At 54.9% G+C, this 18,042-nt stretch overlaps 1 protein-coding gene across 2 annotated transcripts in view; it reads left to right on the forward strand.

The window, feature by feature from the left end:
- RPTOR (regulatory associated protein of MTOR complex 1) overlaps positions 1 to 18,042 on the forward strand; it is a 421,531-nt gene that overhangs the window by 369,251 nt on the left and 34,238 nt on the right. For both annotated transcript variants that reach the window (NM_020761.3, NM_001163034.2), the window contains 3 exons: positions 8,636 to 8,739; positions 9,402 to 9,585; positions 11,282 to 11,392. In NM_020761.3, the coding sequence (NP_065812.1) occupies positions 8,636 to 8,739; positions 9,402 to 9,585; positions 11,282 to 11,392 (399 nt within the window). The remainder of the gene's footprint in view (positions 1 to 8,635; positions 8,740 to 9,401; positions 9,586 to 11,281; positions 11,393 to 18,042) is intronic.

An 18,042-nucleotide genomic window follows, 5' to 3' on the forward strand; every position in this document is an offset into this window, starting at 1 on the left:
GAAAGGGGTGTACTTAACGAAAGGTCAAATTGATGGCAGTGGCAGCCAGTCTGGGAGCGGCCACTGCCATGATGCCAGCTACAGCTGGGGAGGTGTGGCCAGGGCCGTGTGCTCCACAAAGCTGGCAGGAGGCAGGGACCGGTGGAATCCCACCCCCTTCCAAACTGGCAGGGTGGGAGCCTCATGCTCCCCAGGTGCAGCTACAGCCACCCAGCCACAACTCTGGATCCAGGCATCTCTGTGCTCTTGGGGGCCGGGAGCAGGCAGGAACCCCACCCTCCCAGGCACAGCTGCAGCCACCCAGCCGTGGCTCCAGACCCAGCCATCTCTGCTCTTGGGGACCAGGAGCGGGCAGGAGCTCCACCCTCCCAGGTGCAGCTGCAGCCACCCGGCATGGCTCCTCTGTGCTCTCAGGGGCCCAGGAAGTGCCCCTACCCCTGCAGGCTTGGAAGCGTCTGCTCCCGCTCCCTGGCCTCTCCCTGCTCCTGGCACCCACTTCAATCTCGGAGCAAAGTTGAGGCTGTACCCAGGTGCTGTTGCAACCAGCCGGCTGTGCACACGCTCGGGGCAGTGCTCACATGCCAACCACCTGCTATGTCAGCCCCCTCTGGACTTTGGGCACCAACGAGCATGGGAGGGAGGCTGAGGGTGGGGACTGAGGGCAGTTTGGCACTGGCCTGCAGGTGCCCCTCGGCACAATCAGCCTGGGTGTTATGGATGATGGCAGGAGGCAGACAGGGTCCTGGGCAGAAAGGGGCAGGTCCCCAGTGAAGTGCCACCTTCAAGCCAGGGACAGCCTGAAGCCTGGGGGCTGGGCTGATGGACCAGAATGGGAACTTTTAGTGCTTTTTCCAAGCCTGCCCATGGCTGCCCATGAATCAGTCAGCACATACTTCCTCCCCTTTGAAGCCCATAAAAACCCTGGACTCAGCCAGACTCAAGGAAACGATGGCATAACCTGCCTTCAGAAAGGAGCTACCCATGCCGGGGTCTCCTCTCTGCTGAGAGCTGAGCAGACGTTGGGAAAACCAGCTGCAGAGAGGAGCTGCACACTCCAGGGTCTCCTCTCTGCTGAGAACTGAGCAGACGTCGGGAAAACCAGCTGCAGAGAGGAGCTGCACACTCCAGGGTCTCCTCTGCTGAGAGCTGAGCAGACGTCGGGAAAACCAGCTGCGGAGAGGAGTTACCCACTCCAGGGTCTCCTCTCTGCTGAGAGCTGAGCAGACGTCAGGAAAACCAGCTGCAGAGAGGAGTTAACCACTCCAGGGTCTCCTCTCTGCTGAGAGCTGAGCAGACGTCGGGAAAACCAGCTGCAGAGAGGAGTTAACCACTCCAGGGTCTCCTCTCTGCTGAGAGCTGAGCAGACGTCGGGAAAACCAGCTGCAGAGAGGAGTTAACCACTCCAGGGTCTCCTCTCTGCTGAGAGCTGAGCAGACGTCGGGAAAACCAGCTGCGGAGAGGAGCTACCCACTCCAGGGTCTCCTCTCTGCTGAGAGCTGAGCAGACGTCGGGAAAACCAGCTGCGGAGAGGAGCTACCCACTCCTGGGTCTCCTCTCTGCTGAGAGCTGAGCAGACATCGGGAAAACCAGCTGCAGAGAGGAGCTACCCACTCCAGGGTCTCCTCTCTGCTGAGAGCTGAGCAGACGTCGGGAAAACCAGCTGCGGAGAGGAGCTACCCACTCCAGGGTCTCCTCTCTGCTGAGAGCTGAGCAGACGTCGGGAAAACCAGCTGCGGAGAGGAGTTACCCACTCCAGGGTCTCCTCTCTGCTGAGAGCTGAGCAGACGTCGGGAAAACCAGCTGCAGAGAGGAGTTAACCACTCCAGGGTCTCTTTTCTGCTGAGAGCAGAACACTTATCAGGACAGTCTGCCTCCGGAGAGGAGCTACCAACTGTGGGTCTCCTCTGAGCTATTCTGTTGCTCAGTAAAGCTCCTCTTCAGCTTGCTTAACCTCCACTTGTCCGTGTACCTCATTCTTCCTGGATGCAGGACAAGAACTTGGGACCCACCAAATGTCAGGGCTACAAGAGCTCTAACACAAACAGGGCTGAAACATGCCCCTTGCTTGCCACTTTGCAGATGACAAGAAGGAGAGAAGAGAAAAGGAGAGAAGAGCTGCAGCCCTTCAGGGAACCCAGACCTAGGAGCTCCCTGAGATAGGGCTGTGATGCCATCTCTGGGGCTCTGCAGTTCCTGGCGTCTCCAAGCTTCCAGGTGCCACCACGTTCCCCAGTGCCAGATGTTGAAGCTGCTTGTAGTACACCTGGCCCAGCCACAGCCTTGCAGGGAGCAGGCACCCATGCCAGTGCCTAGAGCTGCCCACCCCCCTGCAGCCAGCATGCATGGCTGCGCACAGTGGCTGGACCCCACATTCACTCTCACACCCCTCACCACTCTGCGCCTGGCTTGCCTTTGGCAGGTGTGAGATGCGGGCCAGCAGTGTGAGCCAAGCGCAGCCTGCCAGGCTGAATGGGCATAACAAGCCCAGTGGGTCCAAGTAAAAACTCGGGCAAAGGCGTCACCAGCCACAGAGGTTTCTGGCTGGCAAAGCAATACCCCAAGGATCCCATGACATTTTGATTTACTTATAAAATGAAGACCTAAGTTACTGATAAAGTAAATAAACATTGGCCGAGTGCGATGGCTCACACCTGTAATCCCAGCACTTTGGGAGGCCAAGGCGGGCGGATCACTTGAGGCCAGGAGTTCCAGACCAGCCTGGCTAAGAGTCTCTACTAAAAATACAAAAATTAGCTAGGTGTGGTGATGCACTCTTGTAGTCCCAGCTACTCAGGAAGCTGAGGCACAAGAATTGCTCGAACCCAGGAGACGGAGATTGCGGTGAGCCAAGATCACACCACTGCACTCCAGCCTGGCAACAGAGCGAGACTCTTATCTGAAAAAAGTAAAAGAGAATGAAAATAAAGATTGAGATATCCAGGAAAGCATATTCCAAAGCACCAAACATCCTAAGCCTGATGCCTGGCTTCATGCTTTCGTAGCATGAGTTACTTATGGATAGGTTTCATTTTTTTTTTTTTTGAGACTGAGTCTCACTATGTCGCCCAGGCTGGAGTGCAGTGGCGCGATCTCAGCTCACTGCAACCTCCATCTCCCAGGTTCAAGCAATTCTGCTGCCTCGGCTTCCCATGTAGCTGGGATTACAGGCACGCGCTACCATGCCCAGCTAATTTTTGTATTTTTAGTAGAGACGGGGTTTCACCATTGTTGGCCAGGCTGGTCTTGAACTCCCGACCTCCAGTGATCCACCTGTCTCGGCCTCCCAAAGTGCTGGGATTACAGGCGTGAGCCACTGCACCCGGCCATGGATACATTTCTTTTAAAATCACATTGTCATGCCAGAATTTTCTCTCCTCCTACTTGACAGCCTCTCTTAGAACCCAGAGAGCCCGGTCTGTGTCTCCCTACCCTCTGTTCTCTCAAGCTGCCTGAATCGTAAGGATTTCTTAATTCAGCATGTTTGCAATTAACCTCTAGACCAAAGTAGTTCTGCACTGCTAAAACTGTCTTTACCTCTGAAATTCTCTGAAATTTCTCTTCCAGTGATCTCAGCCGATCTGCATATAGATATTCTGATTTCTTTTTAACCTCGTCAAATGGCATTTCCTTAACTGAGACAGACAGTTCTCTGTTGCCACCGTGATCCCTCCCTCTAGAACTGCACCTCTCTGAAGCCATTGGACTCTCTCCCAGCTCAGGGCCCCTCCGGGAATCGTGAGCTCTACGTCCAGCCCCTGAAGGCCGTGCTGCCCATCCCACCCCTGCCTGGTTTCAGCGGTGGCCTGCTGTGTGGAAGTGTCTGACTGCCTCTCCCACCAAGCCACGGGCGTGCACACCCTCTGCATCCTCAGCAAGCGTTCACCTCACCTGTCTTAGTTCCTGCACCTCCACCACAAGGATGGATGCTCAGAACAGTGGGATGAGCCGCCCCAGGAATGTGGCATGCCAGCAGCACTAATGAACATGAACAGCCTGGACACATGTCACACCTATGGCTTGAAAGCTTGTCATGCACATGCTCATTCCCCTCACTGCAGACCTGGGGAACGAGGGCAGCATCAGCCTGGACTAGCATAGCTACAGAATCAGATGTGGCCCTGCCTTAGAGCCACGCTGCCCAATGCTGGCCCGTGGGCCCCTGCCCAGCTAGAGCAGAGGCACCCCTGGATCGCCCATCCAGACAGAGATGCCCTGTTCCCCTGCGGAGATGCAGACTCCAGGCTCTGGGGTGGCGGCCGGGAATCTGTTCTCAGTGAGACAGTACTGTGCAGCTGCAGGCAGCGGCTGCCCCACGAGCACCCTCGCGGGGGTCATAGCCACGAGCACCCTCGCCGGAGTCATAGCCACGAGCACCCTCGCCGGAGTCATAGCCACGAGCACCCTCGCGGGGGTCATAGCCATGAGCACCCTCGCGGGGGTCATAGCCATGAGCACCCTCACGGGGGTCATAGCCATGAGGCACTAGGTTGGCTCTTGGAGCCTGGGGCTCCTTCAGGCAAGGACAAGCACCAGCTTTGCCCTGAGCCCCATTCTAGTTCTGCTAGCTTTCAGCCAGTGACTTCATGCCTCTCAGCTTGCATTTCTCCTCTATAAAACTTAAAACTGGGATCATTGTATGACTCCCACCCCCTAGGGCTGTGGTAAGAAAGGCAGAGCCCCGTCCCTGTGCTGCCTGGGTGCAGCGGGGGCTCCATACAGCAAGCTGCATCGTCAGCACTCGTGTCTGTGTCCTGTGCCGCCCAGGTGCAGAGAGGGCTCCACACAGCCAGCTGCATCATCAGCACTCATGTCTATGTCGCCATCAGCTCCTTGGCCATCTCACCATCCTCTGTGGAAAAGGGGCCACAGCAACTCCAGAACCTCCCGAGCCTTCCCACACACCCGGGTCTGAGGAGGGAAGGAGCTGGTGGGCTGAGACACCTCGGCCTCCACTGACGCGGCGTTCTCTTCCCGCAGCGCCTAGGACTGAGGGCACCGTGGCCCCAAGTGAAATTCCTTAAGGCTTCCTTTGTAACTAATGGGCATCTTGTTAAGAGTCACCACGTTGCTTTAATGGAATAATACCTAGGACTTACTTTTCCAAAAGAAGAGTTCGTAGGATTTATCTAGGAAACGCAGTTTGCAGGAAAATGACTTGAAGAAATAGCAGCACACGCTTTTGCAGGGGTTTCTTCTCCCCCACCAAGCAGCCAGCGGCCTCTGCGCTATTCTTAGCCCAAAAGTGCCTCTGGATAATCCTCTGGGAATCCCTTTTTAAGAGTTTCTCACACATGAATCCAGATCCTCGATATAAAATTAACAGGAACATTTCTGAAATACTCCACTTCCTCCCAAGATAGAGCAGCCAGAAGCTGACGCTGGCATCCGCAGCCCTGACTGTGTCAAGATCCAGTGGGAAAATTCACTGTCCAAGTCTCTGAAATGTACGGTATTTTCATCTGCATTGGATCAGACGCCCCCGTGTCCTTGTGAGGTGGCGCTCCCGGAACAGGAGACAGGGTGGGTCTCATTCCAGTCCCCGCTTCAGCAGCTGCAACAGTCGGGGGTGGATAAAAGACACCTGCACCTCCATCTTCCAGGCGTGTTCATGTGCGCACTGGCCCAAGAGAGTGTCTGTGCTGAGCATTCGACTGTTAGCAAAGTCGTATCTGCCACCACCGAAGGTTGGCTTGGGGAGTGGAAGAAAGGCCCTGTCTTGTAGCCGGGACCTTGACCCTCTTACAGCTGCCGTCCTCTCTGGACGCAGACCTCCCTAGAGGGCATGTTTGCACACCCTTGACCTCTGCAGGCTGCGAGTGAGCCGGGGCTCTGGGGGTGTACATGCTGAGAAGGGCGCCGTGTCCTCCAGGCAGGCCTGGGCCCACAGAGGCTGTGCGGGCCGCACTCAGCCCTCCAGTTTGCATCTCCAAACCCAGCCTCTGCCATTGCCGTGCCCTCTCTGTTCACCCTTCCTGGTGCTGCGCTCTCTAAGATGGTGGCAGGGACCAGCAGAAAGGACTCTCCCTGGTCCTCTGCCTTTGCCCCTGCCCCAGCCAGCTCTGCAGCTCCTGCTCGCTGCGTACCCTGTCCTCACACCGACACCGCAGGCAGGCAGGTCTGCCAGGTCACCTCTGAGGGACACGCTACTCATGTTCACAATCTTGGCCCCACACCCAGCGCAATCAACGCTGAGTAAATGTTGAACAAATAAGAAGTGCACAGCTAAAGAAAGCTCCCTCCAGGCCAACCCCCTGTGGTCACTACACTAATGGGGGTGGGGGGGGCTCCTGATCCAGGTGTGTGTCTGTCTCACGAGATTTCCAGAAGTGGTGGAAAATTAGTTTTGTGACAGCAGCCCCAGGTACAAGCCATGTGAAAGCAGGATGGTCTCATCTTATAACCCCAGGGGCTGCGAGAATTCATGCCGAGGCCCGGATCAGTTCCCTGCCTGGAAGAGTGGGCAGAGCAGAGGGTTCGTCACCACGGCTCCATGCGGTACTCCCACGGGCGCTTCCGTGCAGGGTGGCAAGGCGGGAGCTGCACAGACCCCAGGCGGCTCAGCGTGACGTCCCAGGGCTCCTGAGTCACCGGCCCCAGCCCAGCAGCGCCTGAGCCTTTGTGCTCCGTGAGCGTCTGAGCATGTGTGGGTTTTGCTAAAGGCTTCATTTCAACTCCAGAAGTTTTCTGTCTTCCCCGTCACCTCCCACTGTTTTTCCAGACATTTTGAGAAGGCACATATAAAGTTCACAGTCGAAAACTTGCTTTTCTCTTTTTAGACTTTTGAAGGGATCATATGTCTGGCAGGTTCTGTGGGATGGTTGTATGTGTCTAGGGCTGGCCGAATAGTTTAATACCAAAACAAAACAAGCTCAGAAAGAACATGTATTACTCTTGTCATTTAAAAAATAGGAACGTTGCTTAAAGACAAGTTATGGTTCCATTTTCTTGCTATTTGCGTTTTGAAGGAAAGGACAATCTGGGAAGCGTGGGTGTTACATGAGTGAAGACTTCAGGATCGTTTTGTTTTCCTTGGTGTTCTGTTGGCTGAATTGCAGGTTCAAGGTTCCTAAATTCTAAGTGAATAATTAAAAGCATGAGACATTGCAGGCTCCACGCGGATGCGGACCTGAAGGACAGGGTTCTGTCTGGCTGGAGCGCAGCCTGGGATGGGCCGGCGCTCAGGGAATGGCTTGTGCCTGCGGGATCAGTGGGCACCTTCATGGAGCAGCTGGCCCCATCCTCCTGACACAGATGAGGTTGCCCCAGCACCATCAGGCCCCTTCTGAACGCGCACAGCCTCTGGAGTCCAGAACCCAGCGGGACCCGCATTCCCCCCACTGAGCAGTGTACTCAGAACAAAACCACCCCGAAGCACCTGGGCCCTCGCGAGGTCATGTCGGTGGCCGGGCAGCGCACGCCCTGCCTTGCGTGGTTTCTCACGGCTGCTCACTAACGCCGACAGCTGGTCTCCAGATCCACAGAAAACCCTGCTTTAAAAAATAAAAGCAAAACCTCTTGCCTCCTGAATGCCAGGGCTCAAGCTGGTACAAATCTTTTTCTGTGGTAGAATTTCAAGCCCTGCAGGTGTCTGTGGCAGGAGGCTCTCAGAGCCCAGGGTCTTGGCTTCATCCACAGACGGCTGGGTTGAAGGGGTGGTTTGGAGCCTCATGCTGCCCACTAGGCTGTGCCAGCTGTGCACCACCCTGCTCCCCACCCTCCGGGAGCAGCCATCCCCTTCCCCTGCCAGTGCGCCCCTCCCCAGGGCAGGTTTCAGCCATGTCTGCCCTGGAGATGAAGGTTCCCCGTCCATGCAGTGCACCCAGCACCACCTGCGTGCGCCCGTGGGAAAGGATGACCACAGCCCCTCGGCCAGGAGGATGTTAAGGGCGGTCTTGAGTTCCAGGCCCCGTCACAGTCCAGGCAGCAGAGCCCATTTTGCCACTGGAGAGAGCCCAAGCCCCCTGCAGTCATTCTCTGACAGTTTCTGTGGCCTCCTGAAGCACACGGGGGTGTAAACAGTGGCCTGCGTGGAGGCCTCAGGCTGCTGGTGGCTTTCCACCCCGTGCCCACCGGCCAGGTCCCGGGTGGATGAAGCACTCCCTGACCCTCCGTGAATGCCACATCGCCCGGCTCCGGAAAGAGCATGGCTGGTGGATTCTTCCCGGGCCTCAACTCGCAGCCTCTGACCCGAGAGCTGAGGTGTTGGGGAGAATTGGACTCAAGGCTGGGACAGTGTGGAGGCCCAGCCTCAGGCAAGGGGGAGGACACTGAGGCCGCCAGGAGCCGCCCCTCTGGCAGGGAAGGTGAGGAGGGTGGGCCGTCATCCATCTCAGAGGCTTCAGGCCCTGACCCCTCAGGAGCCTCAGGCAGAGCTTCCTCCCCAGACATCCCGGCTCACACGGCCACGCCAGGGCTAGCCCAGTGGATGCATGTCCAAGAGTAAAGAATACCACTTGAGCTTCAGGATTGCCTTTGCGGGGGATCCAGCTGGGGCCTTCCATTGGTGTTGGTGCTTCCTCGGCCAAAGGCCTTTTCTGTGATTCTGAAGCGGCTCCACGCCAGCCTCTGCTTCGTGTGGCGGCCTCCGCGGAGCACGTCCCGTCTGACCTTCACACCCCCATTCCTTTGCCCCTAGGCCACCGTGAACGCCCGGCCGCAGCGCGTCCTGGACACCTCCTCCCTCACGCAGTCGGCCCCCGCCAGCCCCACCAACAAGGGCGTGCACATCCACCAGGCGGGGTAAGTGCCGCCCGCTCAGCCTGCAGGTCCGTGGTGGTGACCGGGGCCCCACGGGCTGAGCTGTCCCTGAGCCGGCCTCCCCATCCTCCTCCTTCCCCGCCCTGTCTTGGCTTCGTCTCCTCCCCCCTCTCCAGCGGGCGTTCTTTCCCTCTCCCTCCCGGACACCCCGGTACCCGCCTGATCTGAGCCCTGCCTTGAGCTCTCCCCATCTTGAGGAACCCTTCATGTGCACATCATCTCAGCAAAAGTTGAATGAAGCCTGGTCTCTGTGGCCTTTCAGAGTTTGTAAGAGGGGATCTAGATCTCCAAATGGGTAACCAACAGGTGTTTGCACCTCAGGACGTGGCACTGCTGTGTGCTGAGCTCGCACATCCCGGCCCACTCGACTCTGAGCTGGGTTCGTCCTGTCCGCGCCACCTCCCAGGGTGCTGGAGTTCAATGAGGGACAACCCTGCCCCCTGCCAGGCGGGCAACCGAGCAGCATGGACTCGGCACCAGCAGCTGGGGTTCGGGAGCCATGATGGCATGCTGGGTGACTGAGGACACCCCGGGCCCTGGTGGCACCTGGGAGGGTGCAGGTGGCCCAGGAAGTTGTTCCATGTTCCCTCTCGAAGCCCCAGACTCTGCAGAGGATGCAGTGTTTGTTTTTCTTCCAATGGCAGGGGCTCCCCTCCGGCGTCCAGCACCAGCAGCTCCAGCCTGACCAACGATGTGGCCAAGCAGCCGGTCAGCCGAGACTTGCCTTCTGGCCGGCCGGGCACCACAGGCCCCGCTGGGGCGCAGTACACCCCTCACTCCCACCAGTTCCCCCGGACACGGAAGATGTTCGACAAGGGCCCAGAGCAGGTACGGGAGCCCGGCTGCCTGGTGATCTGGACACTGAGAGCGTTGCTTCTCAGATGGGGGCTCATGGCCTCAGCCTCAGGCTGCTCACATCACCATGGGATGGGGCAGGACCCACCCTGCCGTCCTGGGTCTGTGGGCCACTCTCTGCCTTTGCAGACCCGGGTGCTGGTCCTCACTCGTGCACCCCTCTGCCTGCACTCCTTAGGAGCACTGCTGGGTGTGTCCCGGTCCCTCTGCCTGCACTCTTTAGGAGCACTGCTGGGTGTGTCCCGGTTCTCCGCCCCTGGTTCTGGTTTCACCATTCTGGGCAGCTTCCATGTAACGAAACAGGAGCACGGAGTTACCTGGCTCTGCCCTTCCTGGGCACACAGCACTCTGCGTCCGCTTGGGGGCAGCTGCACTGCAGAGCATTTGTTCTGAATGTGTTGTCTTTTCTGTGAACATCCAAGTACGCTGCATAAATAGGTACACTCTCTTTGCCTTTAACTAAGTTGAAAAAGATATTTCTGGAGAGAGGAATGCCTGCTTTGTTTTGCCAGGGTTATGAGAGTGGTGTGAGGTGGCAGCTGGTCCGGAGACCTCGGCTGTCTCGTCCAGGTGCTGCCACTTTGTCAGTTGAGGGCACCTGGGCTCAAGAAGGTGGTTCAGGGCGCACCCAGCACACCCAGCTGCTCTGGGTGCTGACAGCATGATCATCTCAGCAATGAGTGGGGTCCGGGGCTCGCTTGGTAATCCAGTGATTTTAAAAGAAGTTAGCGGCCGCCTTGCAGGATGCCCTGGAGCAGGAACGGCCATGTTGGGGTAGAAGAGCTGTCACGGCAAGAGCGGACAGGTCCCCACAGGTGCTGCTCAGCCCCAGCCCACCTGGACTTTCCGTGTCTCGGCAGAGGAGGAGCGAGAATCACCACCGAGCCCCAAGTGCAGGGTCAGCCTCCTGGCCAGGCCCTGGGGAGCAATGCTACCGGCACGTGCAGCTCACCCACCCGACCCCCCGGGGTGGGGGGGATGCACCTCTCACTGCACCTGCCCTGAGATCATGGGGAGCTCCCTGTGCCAAGACACAGCGTGAGAGACGCCAGCAGGCCACATGGCGTGGCACAGGAGACCCCTGGTGCCCAGCCTCACTCCACAAGCACACACAGACTCTGACAGCCCTGGCCGCCACAGGTTCCACAACAGGAAACACCCAAAGCTCAGTCCTCCTCAGCTCCACATCCTCTTTCTCCAGTAGCTGGGAGCTCCAGCCGGCCTGCAAAGCTGTGCGCTCCGTCCAGGCCACTTCACATGGGAGTCCCCGCTCTCAGTCTGGTGTCACGGGGCCATCACAGGAGCTGTCCTGGAACCAAGCGGCAGAGGCTTTTTGGGGGTTGATAAACCAGCACACATGGACGCACGTGGCATTGTCTGAACAGTCAGTTAGAATTGACTTGGGAGCTGTGCTGGGTCGGCCCTGGGGATGGTGGGACCGACGTGGCTCACACTTCACAGCCCGGGCCCCTCAATCCCTGGCCAGACGTTCAGGGGTTCTTGGTCACCAGGATACGGAAGTGAGCAGAGCACAGAAGTGCCGTCCTTAGGGGCAGCCCGGTGCTCCCGGCAGCGCCTTTGTCCCCAGCTGCAGCTCTTTTGAGCTCAGGAGTGGCATGACTGACTGGTGTTTCTTTTTCCTTCCAACCCTCCTGCTTAAACCCTGAAGACTGCGGACGACGCGGACGATGCTGCTGGACACAAAAGTTTCATCTCCGCCACGGTGCAGACGGGGTTCTGCGACTGGAGCGCCCGCTATTTTGCCCAGCCCGTCATGAAGGTGCGCCCGGGGTGTGGGGTTCAGAGTAGAGTCCTAGCGAACATGTGTCTGTCCCACTTCTTTGAGCATAAACGCTCAAGGCTTGTGGCTGTGGGAGCGTCCCATTGTGGTCGTGGTAGTGATGGTCACGGTTGAGGTAGAACCGCAGAAGAAACAAACTTCACTTACCTTCCTGTCGCCAAACGAAAAGAGAAAACCTGCCTCGCTGGAGCTTCCCAGTGTGACAGGTGTCACTTTGCCTTAACTGACAGGGTCACCACAGGCCTTCCCACTCCCTAATGGTGAGGATCACTCGAGGCCCATCCCAAGGCCACGCTTGCGTGGCTCCGAGGTCTGGGGACTGTTAGACGCAGCCTGCTGCAGCCAATCCTAGCGCATTTGGGGTTACACCACAAGACCATCTCTGAGGCTCAACCCTGACACAGCCCTAACAAGCGCCGTGTGCTGTGGACGCAGTGGCTGTGTTCCTGCAGGCTGGGGCAGGGCGGCGGCTCTCGGCCTCTTCGAGGAATGGGGCGGGAGCTGCTTTGTCAGCACAGTCCCAGTGCTCATCTCTCTGCCAGGGCCCAGCAGGGACTCGTGGAGATTTTCTATAAATCTAAAGTGCATTCTGAGCAAACCTGCCTCTTCCCTCATATATAATTGAAAGCTGAAACTCTCAGCTTATTCTCGATTGTATATCAAGCTTGCGTCTTAGTCATCTCTGTGAATGGTATTTGGACCCCATGACAGCTCAGTCCCTGTGGTCCTGTCTTCATAGTGAATGCTGATTTCTGTTCATAAAAACAGAACCATCAGGCAGCCCCTGAGGCAGGCAAGCCATGAAGCTTGAACTACGGAGCCCCTTTACTGCAAAGAGAGAGGAGTTCGCCTCCCTCTTCTCACATGAACCTGGGTGGACAGTGGCCTGGCTGTTCTAGAAAGCGTCTTGCCGGGAAGCATCAAACGCCTTAAATAGCCGTTCCCTTTGACCCAGTCATGAATCTGCTAAAATACTGTCTTGAGAAAATAATCAGAGATGTAGATGACTTCCGTGTTGTTTCTAAGAACGAAAATTGAGATTCACTTAAATGTCCACAGAGGGTGAATAGTTAAAAAGTTATGAAATATTTGATGAGATATTATTGGAGCTACTGAAAAGTTAAACATTAAAAATAGTGTCCTAAGGAAGCGCTCATGACAACATTCCTTAAAAAGAAAAAATGCAAAATGCAGACCAAGAAGCCAGATTTACAGAACAATCACAGCCGTGCTTCTCATACAGACACAGATGTGCATACGACGGAGACCAGCAGAGCCCGCTCCTAACTAGAGATTCGCAAATGGCGCCACCCACGACTGCACTGAATTGGGCTTCTTTTGTGCCTCTTCTGCAGTTTCTACACTAAGCACGAAGCACCTTTAGAGTCGGGGGAAAAGAATCAAAGAAACAAACCCCAGGAGATCATTGAGGCTGGTGGATTCAGTCCTAGTCAGAAGCCCCTCACCAGGCCCACCTGCTGGGCTCACCGCTGCTTACCTGCGGGTGGCATGAGGGTGGCGGCCCCTGCAGACAGAGGGAAGTGCCCCTTCCCATCACTAGGAGGCTTCTGGTTAGGAAAGGAAAGCATACACAAATCCTGGAATTGGATGCAGGAAGCAGGAGCCACCCAAACTCTGAGTGAGCCAGAGCTGGGAGGTGGCTGGACACTGTGCCAGGGGTGCCAGGCCGTCCTCTAGAACTGCGGCCCAGTCTGTTGAAAAGTCAATGGAATTTAGTCTAATGTTAACAAGCTTGGTGTCCTTGATGCGGTCTCGTGCTTAAGGCAGACAAGGTCAGGCGACTAAGAAACCCACATGGTCTGGTCTTCGCTCTTGCTGGGATGGCAGTGGCTGTACATGTTGGTAATTTCTTGGTGTGATAACGAGAGGCTTTTCTTGAAGTCCTTGAAAAATGCCTATTCTCAGTCATCTATCCTATGATGAAAGAGGAATGGCATAGATAATCCAAAACTCATTGCTCTTAAACTTAAAAATGAATTTGACTTTTCCCCAAAGGATTTGCTTTCCTTTCCTAAGCATTTTTAAGTACACAGCAGCTGATTGCAGGAGGAAGTTCCCCAGAGGCATGTGGAAGGCCGTGTGTGTGTCTGTCTGTCTGTCTGTCTGTCTGTCTCTATGTGTGTGTGTGTATCCCTGTGTCTGTCTGTGTGATGTGTGTGTGTATCTCTGTATGTGTGTATGTGTATCTCGTGTGTGTGTCTGTGTGTTTCTGTGTGTCTGTGTGTGTGTGTCTATTTGTTCCGGTGTGTGCAAGCCCCAAGCCAGCGTCTCCTCTCCCTTTCTTCAGATTAGCAGCCCCTCCTCCGCCTGCCCTCATCTCCTCCATTTGCACATCTGAGAATTCCCGCCCGCACGGAGGAGCTGGAGGGTGTCAGCCTTGTGGTCTGGCCCTGCCAGCAGGTCCTGCTGTGTGGACACTGCAGAGGAGATTAGTCCAAGGGGATCCATGTAGGAGCTGCCATCACACAGGAGGTTGATCAGGAAACGGTTGCTGAATGAGTAAATGATTGTCTTCCTCTGCCCCTGCCAAGTATTTGAAAACAAATGCTCACTTGGTTGTCGTTGAAACAACAGGCTCTGGGTGTCATGATGGAAAAGAGCGCCGTGTTGTGGTCGGCGTCGTCTGTAACTCCTGATAGCAACTGCAGTCTTAGGAGTGTCTTTAACATTAGAGACCTTTTCCAAACTTCAGAAGAGGAAGCAGGACGTGTTTTCTCTTGTTTAAAAAAAAAATTGTTTTCCTACTTTTTCTAGGTGGTATTCATAAAGGTATTCTTTTACTGATTTAATTCATCATCTAATGACATTTGTGTAACGAGCTGCATTAGGAACTTCTTGTTATTAGCCTGCTTCACATGTAAACTAAAAATAGCTCTAAGGCTAGGATTGAACCTAAAAAAGAACAGAAGAACTGCAAACCCGAAACTGCTTCAAGGTATATAAGAAACTAAAACAGTTACCAGGTCACAAAATAATGACCAGTTTACACTGACATGCAACTAGCGATTAGCAGGATGAGCATCCAAGGACACCGTGGTAAGGACAGCGTCTGCTAACGTTTTTATTAGTTCACCGTCAGATTTCGTACAGGTCCGTATGACTAGAAAGAGCCGTGTTCTGTCTGCGGCTCACCTTTGATTGGTGAAGCAACCTCCTTTCTTCCCATGTTGGTTTACGGAGCTCGTGTCTACATTAGAAACCACAAAAGAATATTAAAAATGGTCTGCCGTGTGCTTAAGAAAGAAAAAGATGTATTGAATTGTGTTCTGATTACAAAAGTCATACAACTTTTTTCTTCTCTCAGTTGGAAGGTTTCAAAAATTGATTCTATCCAGAGAATCAATCCCTACAAGGCTGTAGGGGCATGTGAACTCTCAGACACTGTTGGTGGGTGGGTCCAGTACTCCCTTTGCTTAGGGCAATTAAGCAGTAACTGTCAGGATTAGAAAAGGGTATACCTGCAAAGCCAGCAATCCTGCTAGGAGGCATATATTCTTAAAAACCACTAATATACATGTCCATGAAAGGGTTCTGCCCGGAGATGTTCATGATAACATGATTTGTAATGGGAAAAAGTTGAAAAGAATCACTTAGTAGGAGAGTTAATTTAAAATGATGGATCCATGGGTTAGAATACTATACAACCATTAAAATTCTTTAAGTTGTATCTTTCTATGAGGACTTGGTTGGATGTCCTTGATCCAAAAGGTAAAATAATCAAATTGTACAAAATGCTTGCACGAGCTCTGTGCTTCTGTAGACTGGAACAAGCACGGGAGGAGGCTTGGCCAGTTACACAGCAGGCTGGCCACACAGTGACTTCTAGAAGGTGGAGTTGGAGCCAGGCAAGGGGACTGTTCTTTTTTTCATCATTTACTTCTGGATGATTTGAATTTTTTAGAAAGAACAGTTATTAGTTTTGCAATTTAAAACAGACTAAAATACCATTTTTAATTATAAAAAGCTTTAAGAGTCGATACGCTGTTGGGAGGCATCACACGCAGAACCCAGTTTATTTCACACAGCCCTTAAAGCTACAGTGGGGATTTCCGTTTGGCGGCTCCGCAGAGCATGGGGATCTTGTTTTGCCCTGAGAGCATCTGCTCCTCTAGGGTGGATGCGGAAGCTGCACTGCCCGTCATCAGATCTGCGGCTGTGCAGCTGGGGTTTCAGTGCACCATTAGAAACTCAGGCAGTGAAGGAGCGACTTGAGATGGCCATAGTCCCCACGCAGGGTTCCCTCCCAGCACTGGGGTTGCCCTGCCTGCATGGCTTCCGGTCCCGCTTTTCTCACTATGCAGTGAACATTGAGCATCCTGTCATAGATTCTCCCACAAAAATGACTTTTTCTGTTTTGTTTTGTTTTTCTCCTCTGAGAATGACACTCTGTGTGACATTCTTTATATAAACCTGCAGCAGGCAGAGCCTGAGAAGTCCCCTCGTGCCACCCTCAGCTCAGTTCATCCTTGGCTCATCCTCGGCTCATCCTCAGCTCATCCCTGGCTCATCCCCAGCTCATCCTCAGTTCAGTTCAGCTCATCCTCATCCCCAGCTCATCCCCAGCGCATCCTCAACTCATCCCCAGCTCATCCTCAACTCATCCCCAGCTGCTCCTCAGCTCATCCCCAGCTCAGCTCATCCCCAGCTCATGCCCAGCTCATCCCCAGCTCATGCCCAGCTCATCCCCAGCTCATCCTCAGCTCATCCCCAGCTCATCCTCAGCTCAGCTCATCCCCAGCTCATCCTCAGCTCATCCCCTGCTCATCCTTAGCTCATCTTCAGCTCATCCCCAGCTCAGCTCAGCTCATCCTCAGCTCATCCTCAGCTCATCCCCAGCTCATCCTCAGCTCATCCCCAGCTCAGCTCAGCTCATTCTCAGCTCATCCCCAGCTCATCCTCAGCTCATCCTCATCCCCAGCTCATCCTCAGCTCATCCCCAGCTCATCCCCAGCTCATCCCCAGCTCATCCCCAGCTCATCCTCAGCTCATCTTCAGCTTATCCACTTCAGTCTGCTGTGGGCTTCACCCGCCTCAGGAGGACAGCTGGCTCCACCCCAGCTGCAGCTTCTAAAATGGGTGCTTCCTGTTCTTTCCTGGAAAGTTCAGAAGGAAAGCAAATGGATAGGTCGATTCCCCTCCAGGAAGACCAGAATAGAATAAGTCGTTGGTTTTGGATGGAAGCTGCGTGAAGAACACACTTGGTGGGTGGAAGTGGGAGACGTAGCTTCTCTGACTTTGTTTCCACTCAGCCACCACCAGCTGGACTCTGGTGCTCGCAGTCTCCGAGGCAGCAGGACAGCTTCCTCCCACAGCTGGGGCAGGGACCGTGCAGTGCCATTCTGCTCACCTTTCTCCACACTTGGCTGTAGTGCCAGCGCCTGTCTGGTAAATTACTGCTGAGTGTTAAACAGTCAGGGGTCAGGTTTATCAGCCAAGTCAGACAGGCTTGTTTTAGAGAACACTGTGATTATTCAGTGTTGTTTAAATTAAATACGTGGTTATTCTAACCGTGCATTCTTAGAGAGTTTCATCCTGGTTTTGCTTGGCTGCACGTGCAGAGGGTCCTGTGGGCAGTTCCTTCGGCCTCAAGCGTATGGGAAATATTGCTCTGGTAAAAGCCGCAGCCTGGTTCCACCTCCGCCTGCAGACAGCTGGAAAGAGCACCACTCCCACCTTGGAAATAAGAAAAGGGCAGAAAAGCTATAAAATTCTGACTTTTCCTGAACTCATCAGAGAGCTGAGGTGGCAGGGGAAGTGAGTTGCCCAGCAGGGAAGGGAAGAGGTGCCTCCAAGGAGAGCCGGACCATGAGCACCAGTTCCCTGCAGCAGAGCAGAAGGGGCCAGCAGGGAGAAATGCTCACCTGAAATTGGCAGTGGTTTGCGCAAGGCTAAACCTGGACCAATGGAGAATCTCAAACCTTTGGGAGCCACAGGCTGCACAGGCCATGGACGTCCACTGGGCCCTCACCCAGAAGATTGAGGTGGGACACGAGAAGAGCCCCTCAGAGGTGTGGGCCCGCAGCAGGCTCTCCTGTGCTGCTCCCCACAGAACATAACCTGCAGCTCCTGATGAAAGACAGCAAACCCTGTCGCCCCCAGAGCACAGGCGAAGACCCACTGCCACAGAAGAACTGCAAAAGAAAACCTTCCATCTCCAGCAGGGCGAGGACCTGCCACGTGTGGCACACTGCAGGGAGCAGGACAGAGTCACTGAGAAGGTTCCACCCTGAGACCCAGAGACACAGGCCCTGCCTCAGTCAGAGTCTGGGCTAGAGCAACAGAGAGCCCTTCGGACCCTTCCAACAGGCTAGCAGGCTCCAGGCAGCAGGCACAGCAGTCGAGCTGTAGCAGGGGCACAGGAGCATAGAGAGAGAAGCCCCCCAAGGTGCAGACACACGAGGAAAGCCAAAAACCAAGGGAGGGTGGGGTGGGAACCCTGGCAAAAACCCTCCCGAAACCCAGGCCCTGCTTGAAGCATGAGGTAGTGTGAGAGGAATCCGAAGCTGGCCACATGCTGAGTGTCACCATGGCAACAGTAAAACCCAAGCCCATTTCAGTGCCTCGCTAGATTGACTGAACTCTTTAACAGTCTAGTAATAGAGGCACAC

This window comes from Homo sapiens, chromosome 17, assembly GCF_000001405.40.
Source record: "Homo sapiens chromosome 17, GRCh38.p14 Primary Assembly".
NCBI classification, from domain to species: domain Eukaryota; kingdom Metazoa; phylum Chordata; class Mammalia; order Primates; family Hominidae; genus Homo; species Homo sapiens.